We start from the raw sequence: 27,204 nt of genomic DNA, 5'->3' as shown, positions 1-27,204 counted from the left end.
AACAGGAAACTGACCTCCAAATTCTTCCACTGTTCCCAACTGAGGGCCCTGGAATAGTTTTATTGCTGAAGAAGCACAAATGCCATATCACAGGAGCTGTGTTCTTCACTGCTTATTACTAAAGTATAAGTTGACTGCTGAAGCCGGCAGGGGGCCAGGAAAAGGAAATTCACCATTTGGGGGCTCTGGGGAGTGAGGGGCAGGAAGCCAAGCAGACACATGCTGTTGAATTTCAGGATCCCAAGTGGACTCTTGGGATTTTGGAAAACTTCAGATGGGCCAAATGTGGACTGGTCCTAGAACATTCCCGGGCAAATTAAGCCGATGGAGGGGATAAAGCCCTACCCAAGCCTGAGCTCAGGTCCATTTACATCCAGAGGCTGTGGGGGATCTGACCAGGCTGATGGCACCCTCTGCATGGACAGCACCCGGCTCTGAGCAAAGAACCACAGACCCTGCTGGAGGCCACCTGGGACTTCTGGTTTGAAACCAGAGGGCAGAAGTTTAAATAAACAGCTGATACCACAGGTGAGACCCAGCTGCCAATTTCCAGAAGTCACCATTAGAGAGAAGGGGTGGTAGGGGCCGCTGCCTTTCTAGAGACTCCGCACATCTCCCTGCAGCCCACTGGGGCAACATGGATGAGATCCTTGGGTCAAGGACAACATGGTCTGGGGAGGAGCGTGGGCTGGGAGTGAAGATCGTTGCCTCTCATCCCCACTCAGCCACCAACTCACGGTGGTTAACCTGAAAAGGTTAAACACAGAATTACCATATGATCCAGCAATTCCACTCCTAGGTATATAACCAAGAGAAATGAAAACATACGTTCACACAAAAACTTGTACATGAATTTTCACAGCAACATTATTCATAATAGCCAAAAAGTTCTACAACAAACCAAATGTCCATCAGCTGATAAACAGACAGACATAATGGGATATGTCTATACAATGGAATATTATTCAGCCATACAAATGCAGTAATAATACATGCTACAACACGGATAAACCTTCAAACATTATGCTAAGTGAAAGAAGCCAGACACAAAGGACCACATGGTGTATGATTCCACTTATACGAAATGGCCAGACCATGCAAATCCACAGAGGCAGAAAGATCAGTGGCTGCCAGATGGTGGGGGAGGGGAAGCGATTGCTAGCGGGTGTGAGGTTTCTTTTTAGGGTGATGAAAAATGTTCTAAACTTGATGTGGTGCTGGATGCACAACTCTATGAATGTACTAAAAACCAGGGACTCGTGCACCATAAATAAGTGAATTGCATGGCACATGAATTGTATACATCGTGAATTGTATACATCCCCTAGTGTGGTCCCCGCCAGCATCAGTATCATCTGGGAGTGTGTTAGACCTCCAGACCTACAGAATCAGAAGCTCCAGAGTGGGGCCCAGCAGCCTGCATTTTAACAAGTCTAACATGTGATTCTGAAGCCCACTAAAGCTGGGGGCCGCTGCTTAGAATATGTGGCTCTCAGCCTTGGCTGTGTGTTGGAATCACCTGGGAGACTTCAAAAACAAGACCCGTGCCCTGGCCAAGACACCCCTACCAACTAAATCAGACTCTCTAGGGATGGAGCTCTGCCACAGCATGGTTTAAAGCTCTCAGATCTCTTGGACATGTGGGGTGCAAGCCCCTGAACTAGAGGGTGTCTCCTCTCAGTCCCTCTGCTCTTCAGTGCCTCTAAGAATTTGGCCAGGTAGGTCACTGGCACCACCTGGTGGCCATATCCCAGAATGACTCTACATCTTGCCTCTGGGCCCTCCAAGGGGCCTTGGGGCTCAGGGATCTGTGTCCTCCCACTGCAGAGGTCACGACCAACCTGGCCTTTGGAAAGGGGGTGGGTGACCTGGTGGGAGCGGGTAAGAATCCTAGCTGGCTCTGCTTCCTCTCTCATTAAAAAACACTTCACATCCAGAAGGCAGCCAGAGTGACCACCTCTAACAGCCCCAGCCACCTTCCTTCTCCAATGCCAACAGAGTCAAGCAGTCACCTCTAGCAGCCCCAACTACCCTTCCCTCTCCAATGTCCAGGGAGGAGTGCCAACTCACCCATACCAACTCATCTCCAATAACTTCTGTGTCATCAGATGCGGGCACCGAACCACCTTTGCTGCCTCTAAACTCGTTTTGCACCTTTCGGCCCCCTGGCCTTTGCCATGCATCCCCTCCCACCTGATGCGCCTTCCCAGGCTGTCTCTGAGGACACTGCTCCAGGCCAGCTCTGGGGGAGCCCTCCTGTCTCCCCACGGCTCAGGCCCTGTCACGCTCCCTGCTCCGCCCTCTGGGTGCCTCGCAGTGGACATCGAGGGCTGCAGAGCTCAGAGGAAGGGGGGCCTATCAGCTTCAGGAGTCAGGGAGGTAGGGGCTCTCTAACAGAGCCTGGCCAGCATGGGATGGAAGGTCTAAGATGCTCTGAAGCAGGCATCCTTTTTCAACTATTGGGCCTCCAGCTTCCAGACTGAACTGGAAGCTTCCATTCTCAGCCCTCTCAGCATCCTCTGAAAGTGGGAGGAACTTAGCTTCTTAGCTCATTGCTGCCAAAAGACCATTGTGAGTGGGACCCAAAGGTAACTCAAAAGGAGACTCAGGACCCAATCTAACTGTGGCCCTGAAGAAAACAGTTCTTCCTAAATTCACCAAAGTCCGTCTTCTGAAACTCCTTAACCACCTTCCCCTCCCCACATTTAACAGACCTTTTTTTTTTTTTTTTTTTTTTGGTAGAGACAAGGTCTTGCTATGTTGCCCAGGGAGGTCTCAAACTCCTAGCCTCAAGTGATCCTCCTGCCTGAGTCTCCCAAAGTGCTGGGATTACAGGTGTGAGCCACTCTTCCCCTGGCCTGGCAGCCTCTTTATCTCTCCAAACTCCCCTCCCAAATGACCTCTGATCTTAGACCCAGATTGACCCCAGATGCCTTGCCCTGCCTTCCAGCTAGGCATCCACCCTTTGCCCCAATCAGGGCCTGATCCATGACCCTGAGCAAAAGCTGGGCCCAATCAGTCATTTCCCCAATGTGTGCACAGCTACAGCCGAGCATAGGGCTGGCTTGGGGCAGGCCCCCTCTGCAGGGGCCACAGGCAAGAGCTGTTTCTGAGAATTGCTGGCCAGCAGTGGGGAACACATGGCTGGTACATATAGCCCTCTCTCAGCACCATGGAATCCTCACCCCCTACCCACCGGCTCCCACCACTGCCCCTCCCACTCAGCACCGGCCTCTGTTCCAGAAGCCAATCAGATTCAATGGGCCAGAGAGGAACAGAAGTGAATACTCCACACAGAGACCCAGGCCAAAAACTCCAGAGCCCACACTAGCCTGTGGTCATGGGACTGGTCCAGTAGGGCCGAGTGCAACAGAGCAGGGAGTATTGGGGACCCAGGCAGGCTTGAGGGCACATTCTTTCCAGATAGGCTGAAAATCCAGATGGTTACATGAAATCTGGACTATTATGAAACTTTTTTTTTTTTGAGGAGTCTCACTATCACCCAAGCTGGAGTGCAATGGCACGATCTTGGCTCACCGCAACCTCCGCCTCCCGGGTTCAAGCAATTCTCCTGTCTCAGCCTCCCGAGTAGCTGGGACTACAGGCGCCTGCCACCATGCCCGGCTAATTTTTGTATTTCAGTAGAGATGGAGTTTCACCATGTTGGCCAGTCTGGTCTCTGACTCCTGACCTCAGGTGGTCTGCCTGTCTCGGCCTCCTAAAGTGCTAGGATTACAGGGGTGAGCCACTGCACCTGGCCAAAACTTTATTTTTATAATGTAATGAGTTATTTAAAAACAATTTTTACAGATAAAAAACACCCCATCTGGGAGCCAGCCCCAGCCCCAGGGCAGCACAGACATACCCACGTCCTGAGATGACAGCCTCCGTGCTAGTTGTGAAACAGCCACCCCAAGACCCTGAGGGTCTCCACCCACCCACTACCTGACTCCTGTCTGGGACCTCTGGTCCCCCCGCCAGGACCCAGAAACAAGAGGGTTAACGCCTGGCACCACAGGGCTCCTGGGTGTTCACTCTGATTGGCCACATCCTTGATTGGTCCTAGGGCCACAGCAGTTGTTGAATGCTTTGAACATGGCCCCTGCATGCATCTCCCCTACCACTCCAGAATCTGGTACCCATACCAGTGGGTCGGGGCTGGGGATGTGTCCATCTCATGGATCACTTCCACTTCCAGAAGGTGGAAAAGTGACCACGAGCCAAGGAGGGGCCCCTAGGACCCCTAGCAACCCCAAAGCCACATCAGCCACTCCCTGGCTGTGCACACCTGGAAGGGTGGCTGGGGCAGGGTGGGGTGGGGTGGGGTGGGGGCTCACCTGGCGGTAGGTGCAGATGATGATCTCCCGCAGGTGGTAGTGCATGGGCGTCATGGTCTCGCTGACAGTGTCCAGCGCTGCGTCCACCTCCTTCTTCACACGGTGCCCATCGGGTAGCAGCTGCACCACCTTCATTACTACCTGGGGCCAGAGAAGGGGGGTGAGCAGACATAAAACTGGTAAGAGCCCTCAGCCCAAGCACCAGGCTTGCACCCTCACCAAAAGGCCACACCAGGCCTAAGGCCCAGGCGCTGAACAGAGAGCCCTGCCTGCTCCTCAGTTCTCAGACTGAGGGAGGACAGGGGGATCCTGAACATCTCCGGGGCCAGGCTACCCAGATGCTTTTCTTTTTCCTCCACAATTGGGATTTATTGGTTGTGTTGAGGATCAGTACACAGACATTGAATTTGTACCGAATATCTAAAAAAGGCATGGATTATGATTCCTTTTTAGTTATTCCATTGACATTTATTGTTGTTGTTGTTGTTGTTGTTTGGAGACAGAGTCTCACTCTGTCATCCAGGCAGGAGTGCAGTGGCATGATCAGGGCTTACTGAAGCCTCAACTTCCTGGATTCAGGTGATCCTCCTACCCCAGCCTCCTGAGCTGCTGGGACTAAAGGCCCATGCCACCACGCCTGGCTAATATCTTGTACTTTTAGTAGAAACGGGGTTTTGGCATGTTGCCCAGGCTAATCTCGAACTCCTGGGCTAAAGCAATCCACACCCTTGGCCTCCCAAAGTGCTGGAAAGTTATTCCATTAACTTTCCAGCTTAAAATTTGGAGGCAAATTGTTCTTTAAGAAGATATTAAGTACCAGTATTTTCAAGTGTTGATAAACTGTGGCATAAGCCCCACCAATCCACAACTTAATGTCTTGCACACTACACAGATTTTCAGTGTCCAAGCACATCAATAGAGTTACTAGGAAAACGGGACTGCCACAGCCAAAGACATCACAGAGTGCACACAGTTCTCACAGGAGAGCCACAATCAAGAAGTGGTTTACATTAGAAATAATTCTACAAAAAAAACCATGGGAATATAAGTCATTTAAGATGTTCAAGACATATTAAATGCACGACTGTGACTCCAAATTGCCATTTTGTATGCTTTGTATTACATGATACAAAAACCACCCCAATGCACCCATGGAATGTTAAGCTGATCTAAGGTGCTTATTTTTGTTTTGTTTTGTTTTGTTTTGCTTGAGATGGAGTCTCGCCCTGTCACCCAGTCTGGAGTGTAGTGGTGAGATCTCGGCTCACTGCAACCTCTGCCTCTTAGGTTCAAGAAATTCTCCCGCCTCAGCCTCCCGAGTAGCTGGGATTACAGGCACCTGCCACCGCACCCAGCTAATTTTTGTATTTTTAGTAGAGACAGGGTTTCACCATGTTGGCCAGGCTGGTCTTGAACTCCTGGCCTCAGGTGATCCACCCGCCTAAGTCTCCCAAAGTGCTGGGATTACAGGCATGAGCCACCACGCCTGGTCGAGGTGCTTATTTTTTAAGCAGTAGAAATCCTGCTTCAAATGAGGCCTCATGCAGAACTTTGATCTATAAAACAGATAGCTGTCACGTACTAGGGCTGGAGGGGTGAGGAGGGGGTGTAAGAAGCCTCCCCACCCTCCTCCTAACCTGCAGCAGCCCCCAGCCACTGCGCAGACGCTCAGAGTTGGACACCACTCATCTGATATAATTCCCCACCCCAGCCAGGTGCAGTGGCTCATACCTGTAATCCCAGCACTTTGGGAGGCCGAGGTGGGGAGATCGCTTGAGGCCAGAAGTTCAAGACCAACCTGGCCAACATAGTGAGACCCCATCTCTGAGTAATAAGAAAAAGAAAAAAGAAAAAAAATGATATAATCTGCCCCTTACTGCTGGGAAAACTGAAGCCTGTTTAGGTTACTCTATGGCTTTTCCCCCACAGGCCCTCCCAGCCACCCTGTGCTGAGTTCCCCTCCAAATCTGTCTACACTGCACCTCTCTACAGCTGGCACCTGATCCAGACCCCCATCCCCCTTTGCCTCCACAGCAGTACCCTTCTGACCAGCGTCTCCACCTCCTCCCCGCCCTCCCTCTCCCTGGTGGCCAGAGAGGTCTTACGAAAGTATAAATGTGAACCCATGTTGTATAATCCCCGGGCTTTGATCTCTTCATGGCTCTCTTACACTCAGCACAGAAACTGGGGTCTAAAGGCTCCCCGCACCACTGGGTCCAGCCTACCTCTCCAGCATCACCCATAACCCCTCCCACCACCTACCCCCACCACCCTGCAAGGTCCCCACAGCGCCCTGTCCCGTGGTCGACAGCCACCTGCTCATCTGCTTCCACTTTCACACCTGCTCCCCACTAAGTGAGGGGCTTTCTGCCGGCACCTGGAGTGGTGCCTGGCACCTGCCCGGTGCCCCAGCATCAGCTGCCCAGTGAATGAATGAACACCTAACTCGCTCTCTTCTCTCTCTGGCTGCCACTTAAGAACAGGGAAGGGCCTTTCCCCAACTCCTGCGTTTCTCAGAGTCCTGGCCTGGTGCTGGGCACCCCAGCAGGCATGGAGTTGCAACCAAGTGGGAGGAGAAAAAGGAACAGTCTGGAAGGAACTAGTGGCAGATCTGGCTCAGGCTGTGCCCAGGGGAGTAGGAGGGAGCTGTCCAGTCCACATCCCCAATCCCAAGCTCTAGGCAGGTCCCCAGGAGGGTGCAGGGAACTGCGTCCTCTGGGGGCCACCTCAGACAGAGGGCTGCAGCTCTTCACAGGGAACCCAACTCCTGGCCTCTGCTGCAGCTGTTCCTCCCCTGAATTCCACATCGACAGCTGTCACTACTGCAAAGCCAGAAACTCGAGGTCATCCTAGGTGCCCTCCTCACCCCACATCCAGGAGCCCTCAAGACCTACCAATGAGGACTGGGCTGCTCCTGCTCACCCTGCAGCCCCTCCTCACTCAGCTCCTGCCTCTCCCTCCACTCCCCAGTCCACATATAACTGCCTGCTGGGGCCCCCAGACTGAGAGCCTGATCACAACCTCCTCTGCCTCCCTCCTGGCCTCACGGTCAAGGTCAAACACATAGTGCAAACCTCCAGGGCCTTCACAATATGGGCCCCCACCCCTCAGTCCTGCCTGCTTCCCTTCTGACAAATCACAGCCTTACATAGTTCCTGCCCTTTCCAGAATCCCTCCTTTGCACACTTGATCCCTCCAGACACTCCCCTCCTCACCAAGGATACTCACTCATCTTCCCCAAAGGCACTCAAATGCTGCCTCCTCTATGAAGTCCTCTCAGGCTCCCTCAGCTGCACTCTTGGCCCTTAGAACCAGTGTCTGCTCTGGGCCTCTTCACGCTCTATTGATCCTTTCTCCCCAACAGACTGTGGGCTCAGCAAATGCTGAACTAATTGCAAAGGAAGCTGGTCTAGATTATCTGGGGGTGGGTGAGGATAGGGTGTACAGGGGTGTCTTCAGGTCATATGATGTAACTTTGGAACACAGGCTCTGAGGTCTACAGCCTGGCTTATACCCCAGCCCCACCTCTCTGATGTGGCCCTAGGGTAATAAACTTGTCTCCCCAGGCCTCATTTTCTCATCTATAAACTGGGAGCAGTAAAAGCACCTACCTCCTGGGAGCTGGGAAAGGGGACAGAGGGAGTACACACAGCTCCCAGCACGGGGCCTGGTGTGAAGAAGGAGAGGCCTGACCATCACATTCAAGGCACCGATGCAAAGACTAAACTCAGCTGGAAAATAAAACCCTTATACATATGGTCAACTGGCTTTCAACAAGGGTGCCAAGACCCTTCAATGGGGAAAGACAGACTCTTGAACTAACGGTGCTGGAAAAACCAGATATCCACATGCAAAAGAATAAACTTAGATAACCCTCACCTCACACCATATAAAAAAAACTAACTCAAAATGGATCAAAGACCTAAACCTAAGAGTTAAAAACTATAAAAGTCTTAGGATAAAACACAAGGGAGAAGCTTCATGACATTGGAGTTGGCAATGATTTCTTGGATATAGCACCAAGGGCACAGGCAACAAAAGAAAAAACAGACAAACTACATCAAAATTAAAAACTTTTGTGCATCAAATGACACTATCAATGAGTAAAAAGTCAGCCCACAGAATAGAGAACATATTTACATATCACCTCTCTTATAAGTGATTAGTTTCCAGAATATATAAAGAACCAAAACTCAACAACAATCCAATTCAAAAATGGACAAAGGACTTGAACAGACATTTCTCCAAAGAAGATATACAAGTGGCCAATAAACACATAAAAAGATATTGAACATCACTAATCATTAGAGAAATGCAAATCAAAGCCACAATATACCACTTCATACCCAGCAGGATGGCTATTATCCAAAAAAAAAAAAAAAAAACGGCTGGGCACAGTGGCTCCCAGCACTTTGGGAGGCCGAGGCGGGTGGATCATCTGAGGTCAGGAGTTCGAGACCAGCCTGGCCAACACGGTGAACTCCCATCTCTAAAAAAAACAGAAAAAAGAAATCAAGTGTTGGTGAGGATGTGGAAATATCAGAACCTTTGTGTGTTGCTGGTGGGAATGTAAAATGGTGCATATACTGCGGCAAACAGCATGGTGGTTCCTCAAAAAAGTAAACAGAATTACGATAGGATCCAGCAATTCCACTCCTGAGTATATGCCCAAAAGAACTGAAAGCAGGGACTCAGCTACGTGCACTATGCATTTCATAGCAGCATTACTCATGACAGCCAAAAGGTGGAAGCAAATAGTGTCCCTTGATGGAGGAATGGAGAAACAAAATGTGGTCTATCCATACAATGGGATATTATTCAGCCTCTAAAAGGAAAGAAATTCTGACACATATTACAATGTGGGTAAACCTTGAGAACATTATGCTCAGTGAAATAAACTAGTCATAAAACACAAATACTGTACGATTCCACTCATAGAAGATTCCTAGAGTAGTCACATCCATTGAGACAGAAAGTAGAACAGGGGCTGCTGGGAGGGAGGATGGGGAATCATTACTGAATAGGAGAGCAGAGTTCTGTTTTGCAAGATGAAGGAGTTAGATGGGTTGTGGCAACAGTTGCACAACAACGTGAATGTACTTAACACCACTGAACTGTACATTTAAAAATGGTTGAAATGGTACATTTTATGTTATGCATATTTTACCACATAAAGAAAAGGAAAAAGGAAAGAATCAGAGAATCAGCCAGAAGAAGGAAGGGAGAAGGCACCGCATATGCAAAGGCTGCAAGAGCTTAGCAAGTGTGAGGTGCTGCATGGCGGTCAGGGCCTCAGGACTGGGGCGAGGGCAGGGGAGGGGCAAGTGGCGAAGTTAACCAGTAAGACACGAGCCAACTGTGCTGCTGACTGTGGGTCAGCCATGGGCCAACTCCGAGGGACGTTGCCACGACTCTCGGGATGCCTGAGAAGATGGCCTGTGGCATGTGGCAGGTGCACAATACATGGATGACTAAATCTGGAATGTTTGTGGCTGGCCATCCAGTGCCCTAATCTGAAATAGAGGAACAGGCAGGGCAAAGTAGGCTGGGGACCCACACAAGGTCACCAACCACAGCTGGGTTGAAGGTGCTGGGAGGTTGTTATCAACATTACCCAGACAAGACGGTGGCCAGTGACCTCCCCAAGGCACACAGCAGCCCAACAGCAAGGCCGGGCAGGGAGGGGTCCAGCCCACATCTCCATAGCCGGCCGTCTGCCAGGGCCTCAGAGCCAAGCTGTCCCATGCCTTGCTGGGCTCATCTATAAAATGGGAACAGGGAAGCACTGATATGATGAGGTGGCAGACGTGACTGCATTGGGACGTGCTTTGAGGACCCCTAGACCGGCAAGCAGGAGTCCTCCTCCTCCTCCCATCCCAAGGTGCCTCAGGGACCCCGCAGGGCATGCTCACCTGAAATTCACCCTTAGTGAACTTGGCATCAGGCACACTCACGAGCTCCTCCTCACCCACCTCGGGGAAGCCCTGAGGGAAGACAGCTGCTGAGACAGAAGCCCCCTCCCAACGCCAGGAGCCCCTTGCTGGGGAGGACTTGGGGGCTGCCCAAGACTGATGGAAGGGGCTCTGGGACCACACCCGGCTGTCTCTGCCCCTCACACCCTCCTGTGGAGCCAGTGTGCCTGGGACCTGAGTGTCTACCCTCCTCCAGGCAAATCTCTAATCTCACTTGAGAGGCCACACGTACTTGGATGTGCCAGAAGGCCAGGACAGCCACCACCATCGCAGTTGTGGTACGGCCCTGGCCGCTGAGGCAGCTGAACACGAAGCCAGTGCCTGGGTCCTTGGAGAGGGCGGCCCGCAGGGCCTCCAGCAGCTGGTCAAAGTCCTGGACGAGAAAAGCAAGGTCTGGGTCAGCGGGCGTCTCTTGGATGCACAAACCCCAACAGGGTCCCCATCCACATGGCAGCCCCAGCCACTGTCCTCGGGCCAGAAATTGTCAGGCTCCCAAGCTTGCACACACAAACAAAACTCACCGGGGTGCATGAGACCATGTGCGTGTAAACAGCTGCACCTGTGCAGTCGTAATCACCCTCACACCAAGCACCTGGACAGGATGTGTGAGCCAACACAGCATGCACCTGGGGCTCAAGGTACCCACCCTCCATCAGGCAGGACATGCACCTGTATGTCACCCCTGTGTACTGCGCCCCTGGGCTGCACATAGACTGCTGGCCCTGCCACCCACCTGAGCTGGACCCAGCCCTGGTCCCACCATGGACGGGGGCCTGACCTCAGAAGAGCCCTGCAGCACAAGGCCACCAGGAGGCAGCAGACCGCAGGCAGTGAGAGCCGCGAAGAGATGCGCCAGGAGGGGCTCAGGCAGGGTAACAGACCCCATTGCCAGTTACACAGCACACAGCGACCCACCTACAACACACGCACCACGCACACGGTGGCTCACCTACAACACACGCCAGACACACGCACCACACAGGGATCCACGTCCGGTAAACACACACACTATACAGACACCCACAGTCACAGACCTACAGATGCCACACACACACATTCCTAACGACCCCTCCACAAACCCTACCACACACCACACCACTCCCCTAAAGATGGTTTTCCACACACAGCCCCCAATACAGACAAGGGAGACATCACAAACTCCATAAAAAGACATGCACACACACACACATTCCACACACCACCCACACACTCCATACACAGTCCCCCAACTGAGACACACACACCACGGACACCCTGGACATGTTCACCCTCAACACACACACACACCTTATAACAAATACACACACACACCTGTAACAGAATACACACACACCCCGATAACACACACACACCTATAACACACACCCATAACACAATACACACACATACACCCTACAACATAATAAACACATGTACACACATCTTATAACACATATGCACATACGTAACAGAATACACACTCCAATACACACACACCTATAACAATACACACACATATACCCTATAACACATAATAAACACACGTACACACACACAAAGCTTGGAAGGAATGTGAATAAACCACTTGGGCCAAATCGGAAAACCTCGTGAGACCATTCCCGGGCCCCGTAGAGAAGCTGGGGTCGTTTCATTCTCCCAGAGCCCAGACCAGAGGGGAGACAGGGAGGCCTCCTGTCCCTCCCCAGAGGCCTCAGCCTGAGCAGCACCCTCACCTCCTCTCGGGGGGCACAGAAGTCCGGCATGGGGATGCGGTGGTAGGTGAGGCCAGGACAGGCCCTGCGGTGCTGGCTGAAGACCTCCTGCATGGTAAGGCAGGTCTGGAACCTGTAGGTCAGGGGGCCCTCCTTGCCTGGGGGAGGCTCGCTTAGATGGGCCTTCAGCTGGGCCTCCAGGGTCTGGGCAAGGGCAGGAGGGAGGACACAGGCCACTGGGGCAGGCTCTAGGCTAGCCCTGAAAGGCCACAGCCTGCCATGGCCAGGCCTGGCCCTGGCTTCCAGTCCCATCCCTGACCCCCCCAAGCCTCAGGGGTCACAGCCACCCCCCAAAGCCAAGCAGGTTAGCAGAGCACTTTAGTGGGAATCCTGAGTTGGCCACTCCCTGACACTGCTCCTCCCGGGGCCTCAGATTCTCCATCTGTCTGCGGGAGTGTGAGGCCTTCTGAAGACCCTCCCAGGCCACTCCCCAGAAGCCTCGGAGGCAGGGGTGCCTAGAGGGCAGGGGGCCTCACCTCCAGCTGGTCAGGAGCCACAGGGGGCCCAGGCCACCGCAGGCTGTAGGTGTGCCCGTCACACTCCAACACGGCCTCCTCCCGAAGGCTCACCCAGACAACCTTCCGCAGCCTCCTCTTGGCGTCCGTCAGGTAGGCCAGGATGCTCCCCAGGGCCTGGGCACAGGAGGGCCGGCAGTGAGTGCTCAGCCCTCCCTCCCCAAACCCACTGGGGGACCCAGGCCCTGAGGGCCGGTCACCTTGGCGCTGGGCTGGGCCGTGCCGTAGATGGGCATGCGGGGCACCCGCCGGAAGTTGGCCACATCCATCTCTCTGACAGTGCTGAGCGCGTCCGGGGAGACCAGATCGTCCTCCCGCTGTGGGGAGAGCACCAAGCCTGGGACCCACAGCAGCCGACTGTAGCCGCAGAAAGGGTCAGGACCTGGCCCAAGGCAGACGGGGGGTGGGGTGGAACCCGAGCTTCACAGTTTACAAAGCACTCCTGCACACTTGGAGCTTCCCCCGGCCCTGGCAAGAAGAAGTGCAATGGTGCCCACTCTCTGGACCAGGAAGCTGAGGCTCAAAGAGAAGAAGCTGGAGGCAAAGATCATAGAACCCTGCCCAGAGCTCTTGGGTTTGAGACTGAGGAGAAGGTACCAGAACAGCTGCCAAAGCTGCAAATGCTTGCTGGGGCCTAAGCATGACCCCATTCTGTTCACAAGAGGATCCCAACACCCACAGCCTCTCTTCTTCACCTCCTGCAAGGGCAATGCTTACCCCAACCCTACAGGAATCCAGTGTTTAGGGGCCAGGGCCAGTACACAGCCATGCCCACTTCTCCGACTGCCAGTCATACTCACTAGGGAGCCCCTGGCGATGAGGTCCCTCGGAGCCACAGGGCCTGCTGAGCTCAGCGTCACGGGCAGGCGGTACAGCTCAGGGTGGGCACACAGCCAGCGGCTGAAACTGAGGGCAAAGGCCAGCGGGTACTGCAGCCCGAGGCAGAGAGACGAGGAATTCAGGGGCACAGGGCCATCCTGAACCCTCCCTGCCCACACCATGGCAGGGGAAGCCCCAAAAGATATCCAACATGGCCCAGAGCAGGGACAAGGGAGTGGCTGAGAGAAGACCTGGACGTCTGGTGTCCTGGTTAAGGACAGAGACAAGGGCCCGGTGGAAAGAGGTGGGGCCTCCCTATGCCCAGCTGCTCAGGGACTACTCCCGAATCTGGGTCTCTCCTGGCCTCCCTTCCCTCCCCGGTTCCTTGGGGGGTCTCCCTCCACAGCAAGCCAGTCACTGCGGTGGGGAGGCTGGGAGAGGCCCAGGAGGAGGGGACGTGGGTCTGCTCCTCCCAGGCCCCACCTGCTCATGAAGGTAGTAGTTAAACAGGATCAGGTAGAAGTATCGCTCCAGGCTCCACAGCGCCCTCTGCCAGACGCTGTGTCGGCTGCCGCTTCCCTGAGAGAGAGGACAGGGTGTTAAGGACAGACTCCTCAGGCAGTCTTGTCCCTGTCCCCATCCCTGCAAGGGCAGGAGTTAAGCCTTGGAACTCCCCAGAAGACAGTCTTTCCCTCCCTTCATGACACAGTTCTGCCAGGCTGTAAGTTCTTCTAAGTGTCTCACCCTATCCCAGATGCTGTGGTTATCTGCGGTCAGGGGAGATATGTGGGTGACCACACCAGGCACTGTGGTTCTAGGTGCAGGGCTGGTCTCCCCAAGCAGGCTCCCAGCGCCAAGACAGGCAGGGGCTCCCTCACTTAGCTCCAGCGACACCCAACAGGTCAGGGTTGTGCACCCTCTGTGTTGAGGAAGCCAAGTGTGTGAACACCCCCGAGCCAGAGGCCCTCCCTTAAGAACTGGAACCTGGCTGGGTGCGGTGGCTCACGCCTGTGGTCCCAGCACGTTGGGAGGCTGAGACAGCCAGATCGCTTCAGCTCAGGAGTGCAAAACAAGCTGGGCAACATGGCAAAACCCCATCTCTATAAAAAAATACAAAAATTAGGCATGGTGGCACATGCCTGTAGTCCCAGCCACTCGTGAGGCTGAGGTGGGAGAATCGCTTGAGCCTGGGAAGTTGAGGCTCCAGTGAGCTATGATCTCACCGTTGCACTCCAGCCCAGATGACAAAGTGAGACCCTGTCTCAAAAAAAAAAAAAGAACTGGAGCCTCTCCACAAGAAAATACAAATACAAAGACCCTCACAGCAGTGCTCCAGGGGAGCCATCCTAATTACTCCTAATTTACAGAGGGAAACGGAGATTCAGAGAAATGAGGTAACTTCCTTAAAGTCACACAGCTGACAGCAAACAGAGCCAGATTCCCCAAGTCTCCTGACCCCAGCCCAGCTTCCTCTGCATGGGGGGTTGTCCGAGAGAACCCCAAGGGCCCTCGGATCTCCAGGTTCTCCTGCTGGGTCAGTACCTTTTGGAGGGCAAGTGAGATTCAAGTGAGATTCACAGAGGCCCTAAAGAAGGGCCACGCCCTTTGGTGAAATTTAATCCCATCTTTGGGAATCTCCACCAGGTGTCGGCAAACTTTTTCCATAAAGGGCCAGACGGTAAATACTCTAGACTTTCAGGCTTCAGGGTCCCTGCTGCAGCTACTGAACTCTGCCATCCCAGCATAAGAGCAGTCGTGGGCCAGCAGAGTAGAGAACAGCAAGACTGTGTTCCAGTAACACATTTACAAAGACAGGCGGCAGGCTGGATTTGGTCTAAGCCGTAGTTTGCTGATGCCCAATCTAGACTAAGGGGAGAAAGAATCCTAAATACACAACAGCCTTCATTTTCATGAAGCTGCTCAACAAAGAAGTATTTACACTGATGGGGAACTGGAGCAACTCAATTGTCCAAGAAGAGGGGGACTGTTTAGTAAATCACAGCAGGGGTGACATTCCAGGGACTCTGTGGCAGGCTCTAAGTACTGTATGGGATTTTTTTTGGTTTGGGTTCGTTTTGTTTTGTTTTTTGAGACAGGGTCTTGCTCTGTTGCTCAGCCTAGAGTGCAGTGGTACGATCATAGCCCACTGCAGCCTGGAACTCCTGGGCTCACAAGATCCTCCTGCCTCAGCCTCCCTGATAGCTGGTACTACTGGGCACACACCAGCTCCCTGGTAGTTGGTACTACGCGTGCCACCACACCCAGCTAATTTCTGTGTTTTCTGTGGAGACAGGATTTCACCATGTTAGCCAGTCGGGTCTCAAACTCCTGATTTCAAGTGATCCATCTGCCTCAGCCTCCCAAAGTGCTGGGATTACAGGTGTGAGCCACCGTGCCCAGCCTTTTAAAAATATTTTTAGAAAGAAAAAGACCCAGTGTTTTGGGAGGCCAAGGCAGGAGGACTGCTTGAGGCCAGGAGTTGAAGACCAGCCTGGGCAACATAGCAACACCCCATCTCTAAAAAAGTAAGGTGTGGTGACATGCACCTGTAGTCCCAGATACTCAGGAGGTTGAGGTGGACGAATCCCTTGAGTCTAGGAGTTCGAGGTTGCAGTGAGCTATGACTGCACCACTGCGCTCCAGCCTGGGCAACAGAGCAAGACCCTATTGAAGGAGAAGCAGGAGGAGGAAGAGAAGAAGAAAAAGGAGAAGAAAGGAGAAGGAGGAGGAGAAGGAAGGGAGGAGGGAGGAGGAAGACGAGAAGAAGGAGGAGAAGGAGGAAGAGGAAGGAGAAGGAAGGAGGAAGAAGGAGGAGGAAGGAAGAGAAGGAGGAGGAAGGAGGAGGAGGAAAGAAGAGGAGGAAGGAGGAAGAGGCGGAGAAAGAGGAAGAGAGGGAGAAGGAAGGGGAGAGGAGGAAAAGTGGGGAAGAGGAAGAGGGGGAAGGAGGAAGCGGGGGGAGGAGGAAGGGGGAAGGAGGAAGAGGGTGAGGAAAAAGAGGGGGGAGGAGAAGGAGGAGGAGGAAGAGAAGAAGAAACAAGAAAAAAGAAGAAGCTGCCTCTGTGGCTTTAGATTCTTTCCATGCGCTGTATGATATAAACACTATCAAGCCCACCTCCTTTCGCTAAGGCATGGGGACAGGGTCTGCTGAGACAGCCTAGAGCCCATAAGTCTTTCAGAAGCAGCCAGCTGGACCAAACCCCAGTCTTCCCAAAGAAACACCAGGAGTTTTACTAGTGGGAGGCCATGAGTGGCCTGGGGAGTATCTGAGTCCAGGGGCCCCTGCAGCCCTGGCCAGCAGCCCCTTCCTCTGTCCTGTTTATTCTGCAGCTGAAGGGACCTGGTCAGGAAAAGTAAACTTCCCCTCTTCCTTGTCCTTCCTGTGGGCCCAGAGCCCCTATCTCCCCTTCCTCTGAAAACTGCTCTTCTCATGGGAGACGCAGCAGCCAGAAAAAGTCAGTCTGAAAGAAACCAGTCAACATGCCTAATGAAATCAGGCTGCAGGGCTCACAGAGAAGCAGAGTGCTCACACGTCCTTCCATGCCTCACCTGGGCTGGGCTCTCCGGTCGGATACCTTCTAACTTCTTCTGGTTTTCCAAGACCACTTCTTTCAGGTCATGCAACTCGGCACAGGCAGTGATGGCTCTGTCCACCTGGTGCCAGAGACCAAGGCAAGTAAGAGGGAGGTGGGGGGGTGGGGAGCAGGGTCAAGGCAGAACGGCAGGAGAAAAGAGAAAAGAGAGGGAAAGAAAAAGATTGGCAGAGAGGTAGGGGAGGGTATCGGGAAGGAAGAGAGCCCCGACCAGTGAGAGGAGTGACCGTCCCCTCCACCACCCCTGCCCCAGCCCTTTGCTGTCCCTCACTCACCTCTTCCACCATCCTCCTTCCCTGGGGCACCATGCGGAGAAAGCTCTGGATCACCTGGAACTGCTCCATAGGCAGGGGCTTGGCCTGCGTGGGGGCAGCCCTGTCGAGGCAGGGTCAGTACATTAGCAGGCTCTTCCAAAGGTCTCACACGGCCACCCGCCTGCTGTCTCCACTCATATGGCCGCTGGGGGACACCAGACTACAGGTTCCTTCTGAATCACATTGTGGGAAGCAGGGGACATTTCCCCAACTAGGGAAACTGAGGCCCAGAAAGGTCAGGTGACTTTCTCCAGGTCTCCCAGCAAGTCTCGTGGCAAACCAGGAAATGAACCCCAGATGCCAAATTTCCAGCTCTGGCTCTGGGCTCCTAGACATGTCCCCACACTGTGGGGCAGCCTGTCCCCTCCTCGGCCCCACAGCCCTTCAGGACGCTGGGCCCCGGGCCACTCACTCTGGCTGGGAGGTGGTCCCACTGCGGTGAAGCAGGATGAGGGTGCCCAGGACCATGCCCAGGTTGGTCCTGCCCACGCCCATCTGGCAGCTGAAGACGAGGGCTGGGGGAGGCCCGTGGGCATCACGGAGCTGCAGCAGGCTGGGGGTCTCCTGGGAAAGACCATGAGGATCAGGCCCCAGTGAGACCAGGAAACCCTGGGCTGAGGCCTGAGCAGGGAGAAAAGCATGACATCAGCCCACCCTGCCCCACAGTCTGCAGCAAAGTGGGCTCCAATAGGTGTCTTGGCCTCTTCTGCCAAAGCCACAGCCTGATCAGCTCCACCTGCTCCCTCCCCAGGCCTTGGAGGAGCTCAAAGAACTGGAAGTGAGAGCGACTCAGAGGGCACCAGGCCAGTATTAACACCTTCTGCAAGATGCCAGTGAAATAAGATAATGCCCTGAAGGGGGCTGGAGAGAAACTCCGCCAGGACTCAGGAAATGTCAGCTGAACAGTCTATAGGGCAAGAGTCGTTAGCTCCACTAAAGAAAGGAGGAACTGAGGTCTAGAGAGGTGAGGTGATTAGTCCGGGACCACACAGCAAGTTGGCAGCCCAGCCACGGCCAGCAGCTGGGCCAGCGGTCAGTGATGGACTCTGCCATAAGAGAATGCACAAACACACACCTACATACAGGTACACACACACAAACACATACACACACAGACACATACACACACAGAAACACATGTATCCCCACACAGAGACACACAGACAGGAACACACAGACACACAGAGAGACACATAAACATGTACACACACTCCCCACAGACACACACAAAGGCGCTGACACACACAGACATATACAGAGACAGACACCAACACACGTCCACCCTAACATGCTCACATACACAACACAGAATGAAGCCTTCCTCTGAGGAAGGCGAGAGGCTGTGCCCACCCTGAGCACCTCCATGGGGACGACTCTCAAGACTCCTCCCCCATGCGCGCCCGTGCCCCAGTTACCCGGAGAACACTGACAAAGGCGTCCAACTGGGCCTCCAGGGGACTCCCTTGCTCGGGCAGGGGCAGGCGGTGGTACCTGCCAGGTGAGGGAGAGCAGCCATCAGGCAGGCACCCACTCTGGGAATCCCCCTCACCCCCTATTCCCGGGCACTGTTTGGAAATGGGCCCCACTGTGGGAGACATGGGTGTGGGGGACTCCGCCCAACCTGCAGATGGTGAAACTGAGGCTGCAGCTGGAGAGCAGGACCTGGAGCACCCATGGCCAGGGCTGGGGGTGGCCCTGTGGTACCTGTAGGTGGGCTGCAGGAAGAGGGGCCGCTTGTACACCTCCTCCGTCACATGCAAGTCGTCCTCACCATGGATGGCCACAGCATGGGGCTCCCCCCACAGGTCCTCGGTGTTATGGTACACATGGTATGTGTTCTCGCTCAGCTGGGCAAAGTCGTGGATCTAGAGGGAGGTGTGGGGGTCAGAGGGCCATGGCCTGAACTTCAAGACCCTCCCTGAGTGTCCTGGCTGAGCTCTGGAGTGACCAGACCATGCAGAGGCCACAGGCAGGCTTCTGCCCCCCATGAGGGAACTACACAGCCAGAAGTGCTCTCTATGCCATTCCTGGGAGTTCTGAAGGAATCGGGGTGCCTACACAGGGGCAAGGCAGGAGGGCTCTGCCCAGTGGGTGCAGGAATTCACAAAGCCACCAGTGCCAGGACGGGGGAGGTGTGGTCAGCTGGGAGCTGGAGCCGAGGGGAGCAGAGCACACAGGAGGCCTGGAGGGGATGGGAGAGGCAAAGAGCTGGGCGCCGGCATGGCCTCGGTTCCTGACCTGGAAGTTTCTGGGGACACTGGGACCCCACACTCTATTCACACACCTTCATGGTATGTCAGCTGCCTCAGAGGCCTCCACAAGCCTCTGTGTTATGGAGGAGGAGGAGGACAGAGGATACTGAAACAGGCCCACAGACCCACTGAGGGAACTGACTCAGAGGCTCGTGGCTCTCAAAGCGTTGAACTGCAGCCTTGGTCCTTCTGGTCTAGCGCTCTTTTCACTCACCTAGAACCCTTTCTTTTTCTTTTTCTTTTTTTTTTTTTAGAAAGAGTTTCACTCTGTAGCCCAGGCTGGAGTGCAGTAGTGTGATCTCGGCTCACTGCAACCTCCGCCTCCCAGGTTCAAGCAATTCTCCTGCCTCAGCCTCCCGAGTAGCTAGGATTATAGGCATGCGCAAGCACGTCCAGCTAATTTTTTGTATTTTTAGTAGAGACACAGTTTCACCACGTTGGTCAGGCTGGTCTTGAACTCCTGCCCACCTCGGCCTCCCAAAGTGCTGGAATTACAGGTATAAGCCACTGCACCCGGCCCACCAGACCCCTTTCTAAATAAGGACATTGAGCATCAAGGAGACAAGCAGGGTGGGAAAGGGGCAGAGGCAAAGAGAGCTAGAATAGGAAGTCCTTCCTCTGGCTGCCCGTGAGTCAGCCTTGCAGCCAGCCACTCACCCAAGCAGGGCACAACAGTGGGGGAACACGGGCCAGTAAGAGCAGGTGAGCTGGCCCCAAAAAGAGCATCTGCAAAGCTGGGCTGTGGGCTGGGGTCTCCCGCACACCGCACTGGTCCTCACCTCTTTCCGGATGGCCAGCTCCAGGCTCTCCACCCGGACCCCGGGTCCAAGGCCCTGGAGGTTCTCATGAAGGTTCTGCTTGTCTCGAGGTGTGTAGGACACAAAGTCCTCATCTGCACGCAGGAAAAGCACAGGTTCCTCCCGCACACAGAAGATGACACACTCCTGCCAGGAGCCCGAGGGGGAAGGAAGCCATCATCATGATCCCGCACAGACACCTGCACCACTGCCCCACCTCAGGGCCTCTGCCCAAGCTGTTCCTTCCTCCTGCACCCCACACCATCCCTGCAACCTGAATCCTACCCAAGAAACAAAGCTCAGTCCAAATGCTACCTCCCTGTGACCCTCCCAGTCAGCAGTGACCCCTGCCTCCTGTCAGGGTCAAGAGTCCTTCATATGAATCTCTTGGCGTTAATTCCTGCTTTGTACTATCAATGAATGCATCTTTTCCCCCTTAATGGACCACAGGTTCCTCGTAGGCAAAATCATGTCCTGGTCATTTTCATGTACCCATAATTCCTAGCATGGTGTCCTAGCATGGTGTCCTGGATAAATCAGGTGTTTGATGAACATCAGCTGAAGAAATGAATGCCCCATGACCACGCAATCATTCATTCACTGAGCACCATACAGGCAGAGGGAAATGTGTGGGCAGATGGTCCCCTTGAGGAACTTATCATCAAGATGGGAAGATGGGACCTGCACACAGCCCACACCCCCACCCCATTCTGTCTCACTCAAAGCCTTTCCACCTTAACTCCGGGGTCAATTCAGATGCAGCTGCACTCAAGAAGCCTACAATCGCAGCAGACCCTCAGCCTGTGTCCTAGGGACACGCAAAACCCTGCCTCAACATCCGACAGGTAAGAACAGTCCTTGAAAGCAGGCACTTGGGAATTCAGCTGCCTGGGTTTGGGTCTTGGGGTACCACTCATGAGCTGTGTGACCTTGAGCAAGTCACTTAGCTTCTCTGGGCCTGTTTCCTCCTCTGCAAAATGGGAGACAAACTGCCACTCCATCACAGGGCTAACATCAGGACTTAAGTGTTAGCTGTGATCACCATTCAGCAAGCTGTCAAATTATGAGCTGGCTCCTCCTGTCACCCGGTCACGCCCCCTGCTTCCTCTGAGGCTCCCAAGTAGGGTCTATGAAGGCTTCTGACCTTGTGCCCCGCCATCCACTCAGGACATGCAATCAACATTCACCAGAATTTCCCAACCAGACCAACAGCAGTGACCATCCTGGCAGGCAGGGCCTGGTCCAGGCCACTACCCCACCTCTCCAGCATGCAGCAGGCCCCTCCAGCGCCTCTAAAGCTGCCCCTCCAAGGTGCCCCTCTCCCTGGCTTTGGGGACCTGGCTTCTGCCTGGGAAGTGGCATACTTACCCTATGTCCGTCCTTCTGGAGTTTCTGGAGGACCCGCCTGAACCCTGAGAGGCTGGGCTGTCCCATGCCGAACACAGTGAGCCCACCCTGCACCTGCCGGAAGTTGGGGGCCCCACAGCTTCCCACGGTGCCCAGCACATCCATCTTCTCAGTGACATCCCGCACCAGGAAGTAGCGGCCCTGGCAGGGGAGAGCCACAGGAAGGTCACTCAGATGGCTCAGGGGTATTTTCTGCAGATGGAGCTCTGTCCTGGGCTCCAGGGGACAGGGAGGGGGGAAATAGGGGCAAAAAGAACATGATCCTGCCCTCAAGTTGCCTGCAGTTCATGGAAAAAACAGACAAAATATATAACTCTCTGTGATCTGGGGAAGGGTATCATAAAGTGTAGGAAAAGGAAAGACAACTCCTCCAGAGGGGACATCAGAGAGGGCTTCATGTGGGAGGTGACGTCTGAGCCAGGCCTGGAGGAAAGAGCAGGGAGAGGCTCTCCAGAGGCAAAGCTGGCTCTAGGGTAGGAGCTCCCCTGGAAGGGGCTTTTGTAGGAAGGCAGAGCTGGGGCACCAGGAATCAACCAGAGGATCACGGTGCTAGCTCCATCCTAGGGCCCTGCCCGTTCTGAAAATGGGCAGAGAGACGGGGAAAGTTGGGGAGGGCCAGAGGGAGGTGAGGGAGGGAATTCATGAGAGATAGGGGTGGGAGGCAGCAGGCGGGCTGGCAGGGTAAGGCCTGAGCTCACTTGCACCAGGTAGTGCTCAGGGGTGTTGTCCGAGAGCCGGCCCAACGTGTAATGAGCCTTGAGCAGCTCATCATGGATCTGGAACTCCTCCTTGCAGTTGTACCTGGGGGGGGGGGGGGGGGGCAGAATGGAAACTGAGTCAAGCAACCTCCTTGGTCAAGGCCAGCTCCACCCTCACAGAGCCCACCGCAGGAAAACCCCTGTGGCTACGATTTGTGGCAGAGACTGCCCATTGTCCCTCAATATCCACTCTTCCCTTCTTCCTCAACACGACAGCCCCAGGGCTGTGACTGAGGACTGAGCCACCCAGCTGAAGACTACATTTCCCAGCCTCCCTTGCAACTCATTGTGGTCACATGATTTAAGTTCTGGCCAATGATGTGAGGAAAAGTGATGTGCGTGCAAATTCCAGGCCATTCCCAAAGAGAAGAGGTGCCTTCTATTTTGTCTTCTCCCCTTCTGCCTGGCTAAAATCCAGAAGTGATGGCAGAGGTAGAACATCTTAGATCATAAGACGGAAGCCACATGTTGATGATGTTGGAGCAATGAGGGAGAAGGGGCCTGGATGATCACGGAGCAGCCATCCCAGCCTGGATGTCCTCGTGGACTTGCATGTAAGAGATGAGCTTCGTCCTGAGGAAGGCATCTTATCTGGGTTACTTTATGACAGCGGCCTAGCCTGTACCCTGAAGAAGACAACATCACTGGATGGTCCCTCCATCAGATTGTATTGGAGGGACAGTCCCTACACTGCTAACTCCACACACAGTGAGGTGGTTTAGAACGCAGGCTTGGGGCATGAAGCCCAACTCCACCCACCGCTTGGTAACTCTATAGCTTTGGACAAGGAGCTCATTTCCAGGAATTCCTACCCCCAAGACTGTCCTGAGAATTAAATGTGCTAATGATTGTAAGTGCTTAGCCCAGTGCCTGGGGCACAGTAAGCATTTATTAATATAATTGTAGTTCTACCTCCACACAGGGCTATTTCAAACAAAACCCACAGATAAAAATCAAGATTTCTGTAGATGCTAAACCAGGTAAAAGTCCAAACACTCAAACAAGATTTACTGTGCCCTCAAGACACAACAGCTCCAGTGCTGATGATAACAATGAATATGACAGAGCCTCCCAGAGTTAATGATCTGATGTTAGGTCCTCTTGACAAAAGAAGTGCCTTCATATACACCATGGAATACTATGTAGCCATAAAAAATGATGAATTCACGTCCTTTGTAGGGACATGGATGAAGGTGGAAACCATCATTCTCAGCAAACCATCGCAAGGACAAAAAACCAAACACCGCATGTTCTCACTCATAGGTGGGAACTGAACAATGAGAACACTTGGACACGGGAAGGGAAGCATCACATACCAGGGCCTGTTGTGGGGTGGGGGGACGGGGGAGGGATGGCATTGGGAGATATGCCTGACGTGGATGGTGGGTTGGTGGGTGCGGCACACCAACATGGCACATGTGTGCATATGTGATGGACATGCACGTTGTGCACATGTACCCTAGAACTTAAATTTTAAAAAAAGTGCCTTTTGGAAAGGCAGGGGGTGGAATGGGTATGGCAGAGGAGCACTAGAAGAGGCCTGGGTTCCCACTCCAGCTCTGCCTCCTTGTTACCACGTGACCCATGGGGAGCAAATCTCTCTACCTCCCTGAAACCCAGTTTTCACATCTGAACTAAAATGCATTAGATCACGGGTTGCCATTCCTTTTCTGGAAAGGGCCACACAGTAAATACTTGCTTTGTGGGCCATACAGCGCCTGTTGCAACTACTCAATTCTGCCATTGAGGCCCTAAGCATCCACAGATACTATGTAAGTGAAAGGAAGTGTCAACATTCCAATAAAACTTTATTTGAAGAAAACAGGCCACATTGGGCCTGCAGGATGTAGTTTGCTGACCCCTCTATTGGATGATCTCTAGAGGTCCCTTCCACTTCAAACATTCTACACCCCCAAAAAGTGCTGTGCTCATGGCTGGCTCCAGGCCCTAAGCACAGCCCTGTGTACAGGATTTTTACGGCTGGTCAGCAACTGTTCTGAGACACATCACTTGGTTAAATATTCTGAATGTCATCTCTGCTTATGTTGATAAGGAAACTGAGGCCCAGAGAGGGAAAGGAACTTGTGCAAGGTCACAGAACAAAGCAAGGGCAGAACCAGGCCTGGGGCACGAGTCTTCGTGCTACCTTCAGGCCCCAAACCCACCTTTGTCATTTGTCAGTACAGAGACTCCATATCAAGTCTCTTTTATATGACATCCCTTTTCCTCCCCTTACCAGAAGCCCAAGAATTGATTATGATGATGGTTTTCCTGGCAGGCCCCAGAGCTGGCAGGCAGGGTTTATCATTCCCACCCCTCAGGTTTCCTTATACAGAAGGACCCATCTGCTAAGTCTTTGCCAAACTTTGATGTGCGGAACACATTTAATTCCTAGCTAGTCATCTCCTGCTTCCTGCATCCTGGAAGACCCAGAGGAGGGGAGCACAGTGGGCAGAGGTGTGGAAAGTACAAGGCTTCTCAACGCACCAGGAGATGGATCCAACATCCCCTCCATCTTCCTGTCCTCCCCAGCATGGCTCTCCAGCACCCACCCCTTCCTCCAAGCCCCACAGGGCAGACAGGGTTTCAGGGACCCATCATAACCCTCTTCCTCTGGATGCACACAGTATGTACAGATCTCAGAACACCAGAACATGCTGCCAGAACAAGCCCTGAGGGGCATCATTAGGACAGCCAACTAGCAGCTTCCAGCTCCTTCAGCCCAAGGCCCTTCAACAGCCTGGTGTTAGCCTCAGTTTTGAGCCATAATTACTGTCTGTGAAAAAGAAATCCCAATTTCATCCATCAAGTACATAAACTTCTTTTGAAAATGTTAAGCCAAAAATTATTTTCAAAAGGGGGGTCCCCCAGCCATGCCTCCTCCTCCGCATTCCCCCACACTGTGGACGTGGTGAGTAGCATGGGCTCAGAGACCCATGACAGAGACCAGCTCTGCCAGGTGCATGCAGTGTGACTCCCAATGAACTGCTTCATCTCCCTGGGCCTCAGTGTCATCATCTATGAACCCGAATCCAGTCTGCAAGCGTTAAGTGCTGTATGCCACTGCACCCCCAAGCAGGTCCCCCCGCCCATCATGTCTCCCAGGGACATGGGCACACTCCCCCTGCCACTCACGTGATCACAACAGGGGCCACCTTGTTGGGGATGATGGACTTGGCCTTGCTGTTATGCAAGCTAGTGCTCTGGAAGGAGTGGATGCTGACGGAGTGCCGACTGTCCATCGTGCCACTGCCCTGTAGGCCCTCAAATGGGGTGCCTGCCGAGACCGTCTGCTGGGCTGTGCTGGCCGTTGTACCCATAGTCTGCCAGCAGCCTCAGGACCCCAGACCTGTAGGATAAGAGGGTGTGCAGTGAAGGAGGGGATGGGAAAATCCACAGCAGGAGACCTGACCCACCTCTCGCCCTCCACCATACAGAGAAAGGCAGCTCACTCTGCAGCTGGAGACAGAGGCAGGCTTGCCTCCTACACCGTGGGGCCCAGAAGATCACATGCTCACTGAGTGCCTGCTCTATACCCGGCCCTTTACCGATGCTTTGGGGGAGTCACGGACATAGACAGACATAAAGATGCAGCCCCCAACCCCTTTAGTTTACACTCCTCTTGTGAAAATGAGACAGAAAGAGGTGAATCATCCACAGCAGGTCAGGGCCTAGAGTTCAAAGTGACTATTTCAGGTGGTATAGACAAAGGCCAGACCTTTCAGGCTAGGAGAAGCAGGAAATGTCACCGAGAAAGAACCAGGGGCAGACAGATGCAAAGAAGGAAGTCAGACTTGGATTTGAAGGCTTTGGATGGGAACGGATGCAGAAGGACATATAGCCACGAATGTCATAAAATAAGGCCAGGGAAGTCCAGATTAGGTGAGCTATCAGCAGATCAAGTGTTCAAAGAAAATACCAGGCCCCAAACTCAACATCAACATCAATATCTGAATTGGTGGCCGGGTGCAGTGGCTCATGCCTATAATCCCAGCACTTTGGGAGGCTGAGGCAGGCAGATCGCTTGAGACCAGGAGTTCGAGACCATCCTGGCCAACATGGTGAAACCCCATCTCTACTTAAAAAAAAAAAAAAATACAAAATTAGCCAGGCATGGTGGCATGCACCTATAATCCCAGCTACTCAGGAGGCTGAGGCACGAGAATCGCTTGAACCCGGGAAGTAAAGGTTGCAGTGAACAGAGATCGAGCCACTCCACTCCAGCCTAGGTGACAGAGTGAGACTCTATCTCAAAAAAATAAAAAATAAAAATCTGAATCAACATCTATATCCTCAACAGGCACAGCTCCCACCCCACTTGAAGAACGCCGGGCACCCTCGGGGATTCGGCAGTCCTCCTGCAAGGCTCCCTCCTAAGGAAATACTTGAGGATGTGTACACAAAGTGGTGTACCACGATGTTTTGTTGACTGGGGTGTTGTTTATAATCACACAACATTGGAAACAACCTCTAGCCCACAGCAGAGGATTTGCTGAATAAATAATGAGACATCTATAGGGTAGAATGTTAAACAGCCATTAAAAATATCATTGGCTGACATGGAAAGACATCTAGGACAGAGCAGGTTGCATAGGAAGTGCAGGCCACAGCCCCACCTTAACTCACGAAAGGGCATCAGGATGAGTCCAAGGGACAGACACCAGGATGCTAGCATGAGTTATCTGCAAGTGA

The 27,204-nt window shown here is 53.4% G+C and overlaps 1 protein-coding gene across 11 annotated transcripts in view, besides 5 other annotated features; it reads right to left on the bottom strand.

Annotated features, from left to right (window-relative positions):
- The window catches only part of PALD1 (phosphatase domain containing paladin 1), a 109,966-nt gene that overhangs the window by 16,667 nt on the left and 66,095 nt on the right, over nucleotides 1-27,204 (bottom strand). For 8 of the 11 annotated variants that reach the window (XM_011539638.3, XM_047425057.1, XM_047425055.1 and 5 more), the window contains 17 exons: nucleotides 25,648-25,861; nucleotides 22,453-22,555; nucleotides 21,716-21,895; nucleotides 20,330-20,494; nucleotides 19,003-19,163; nucleotides 18,714-18,789; nucleotides 17,711-17,862; nucleotides 17,260-17,359; nucleotides 16,941-17,045; nucleotides 13,878-13,973; nucleotides 13,376-13,504; nucleotides 12,776-12,892; nucleotides 12,537-12,692; nucleotides 12,022-12,204; nucleotides 10,542-10,682; nucleotides 10,250-10,321; nucleotides 4,338-4,478 (listed from right to left, as the gene is read on the bottom strand). In XM_011539638.3, the coding sequence (XP_011537940.1) occupies nucleotides 4,338-4,478; nucleotides 10,250-10,321; nucleotides 10,542-10,682; nucleotides 12,022-12,204; nucleotides 12,537-12,692; nucleotides 12,776-12,892; nucleotides 13,376-13,504; nucleotides 13,878-13,973; nucleotides 16,941-17,045; nucleotides 17,260-17,359; nucleotides 17,711-17,862; nucleotides 18,714-18,789; nucleotides 19,003-19,163; nucleotides 20,330-20,494; nucleotides 21,716-21,895; nucleotides 22,453-22,555; nucleotides 25,648-25,832 (2,262 nt within the window). In that variant the 5' untranslated portion in view covers nucleotides 25,833-25,861. Of the gene's footprint in view, nucleotides 1-21; nucleotides 748-4,337; nucleotides 4,479-10,249; nucleotides 10,322-10,541; nucleotides 10,683-12,021; nucleotides 12,205-12,536; nucleotides 12,693-12,775; nucleotides 12,893-13,375; nucleotides 13,505-13,877; nucleotides 13,974-16,940; nucleotides 17,046-17,259; nucleotides 17,360-17,710; nucleotides 17,863-18,713; nucleotides 18,790-19,002; nucleotides 19,164-20,329; nucleotides 20,495-21,715; nucleotides 21,896-22,452; nucleotides 22,556-25,647; nucleotides 25,862-27,204 lie in introns of those variants that run through there. The other 3 variants (XM_047425059.1, XM_047425060.1, XR_945675.3) reach the window with 2 other exon arrangements.
- Nucleotides 9,399-9,899: an enhancer, noted in NCBI's record as "H3K4me1 hESC enhancer chr10:72301641-72302141 (GRCh37/hg19 assembly coordinates)". NCBI's record gives its function as "activates a minimal SCP1, AML or CMV promoter by ChIP-STARR-seq in primed H9 embryonic stem cells {active_cell/tissue: H9 hESC(primed)}" and the evidence as "EXISTENCE:reporter gene assay evidence [ECO:0000049][PMID:30033119]".
- Nucleotides 12,821-13,506: an enhancer, noted in NCBI's record as "H3K27ac-H3K4me1 hESC enhancer chr10:72298034-72298719 (GRCh37/hg19 assembly coordinates)". NCBI's record gives its function as "activates a minimal SCP1, AML or CMV promoter by ChIP-STARR-seq in primed H9 embryonic stem cells {active_cell/tissue: H9 hESC(primed)}" and the evidence as "EXISTENCE:reporter gene assay evidence [ECO:0000049][PMID:30033119]".
- Nucleotides 13,507-14,191: an enhancer, noted in NCBI's record as "H3K4me1 hESC enhancer chr10:72297349-72298033 (GRCh37/hg19 assembly coordinates)". NCBI's record gives its function as "activates a minimal SCP1, AML or CMV promoter by ChIP-STARR-seq in primed H9 embryonic stem cells {active_cell/tissue: H9 hESC(primed)}" and the evidence as "EXISTENCE:reporter gene assay evidence [ECO:0000049][PMID:30033119]".
- Nucleotides 13,905-14,101: a silencer, noted in NCBI's record as "fragment chr10:72297439-72297635 (GRCh37/hg19 assembly coordinates)". NCBI's record gives its function as "represses an EF-1alpha promoter that drives an FKBP-Casp9 reporter gene in an ReSE screen in phorbol 12-myristate 13-acetate-treated (for megakaryocytic differentiation) K562 erythroleukemia cells {active_cell/tissue: K562(+PMA)}" and the evidence as "EXISTENCE:reporter gene assay evidence [ECO:0000049][PMID:32094911]".
- Nucleotides 22,130-23,047: an enhancer, noted in NCBI's record as "NANOG-H3K4me1 hESC enhancer chr10:72288493-72289410 (GRCh37/hg19 assembly coordinates)". NCBI's record gives its function as "activates a minimal SCP1, AML or CMV promoter by ChIP-STARR-seq in naive H9 embryonic stem cells {active_cell/tissue: H9 hESC(naive)}" and the evidence as "EXISTENCE:reporter gene assay evidence [ECO:0000049][PMID:30033119]".

The sequence above is a fragment of the Homo sapiens genome, chromosome 10 (assembly GCF_000001405.40).
Source record: "Homo sapiens chromosome 10, GRCh38.p14 Primary Assembly".
Lineage (NCBI taxonomy): Eukaryota > Metazoa > Chordata > Mammalia > Primates > Hominidae > Homo > Homo sapiens.
This window is presented reverse-complemented; position numbering and strand designations above follow the sequence as displayed.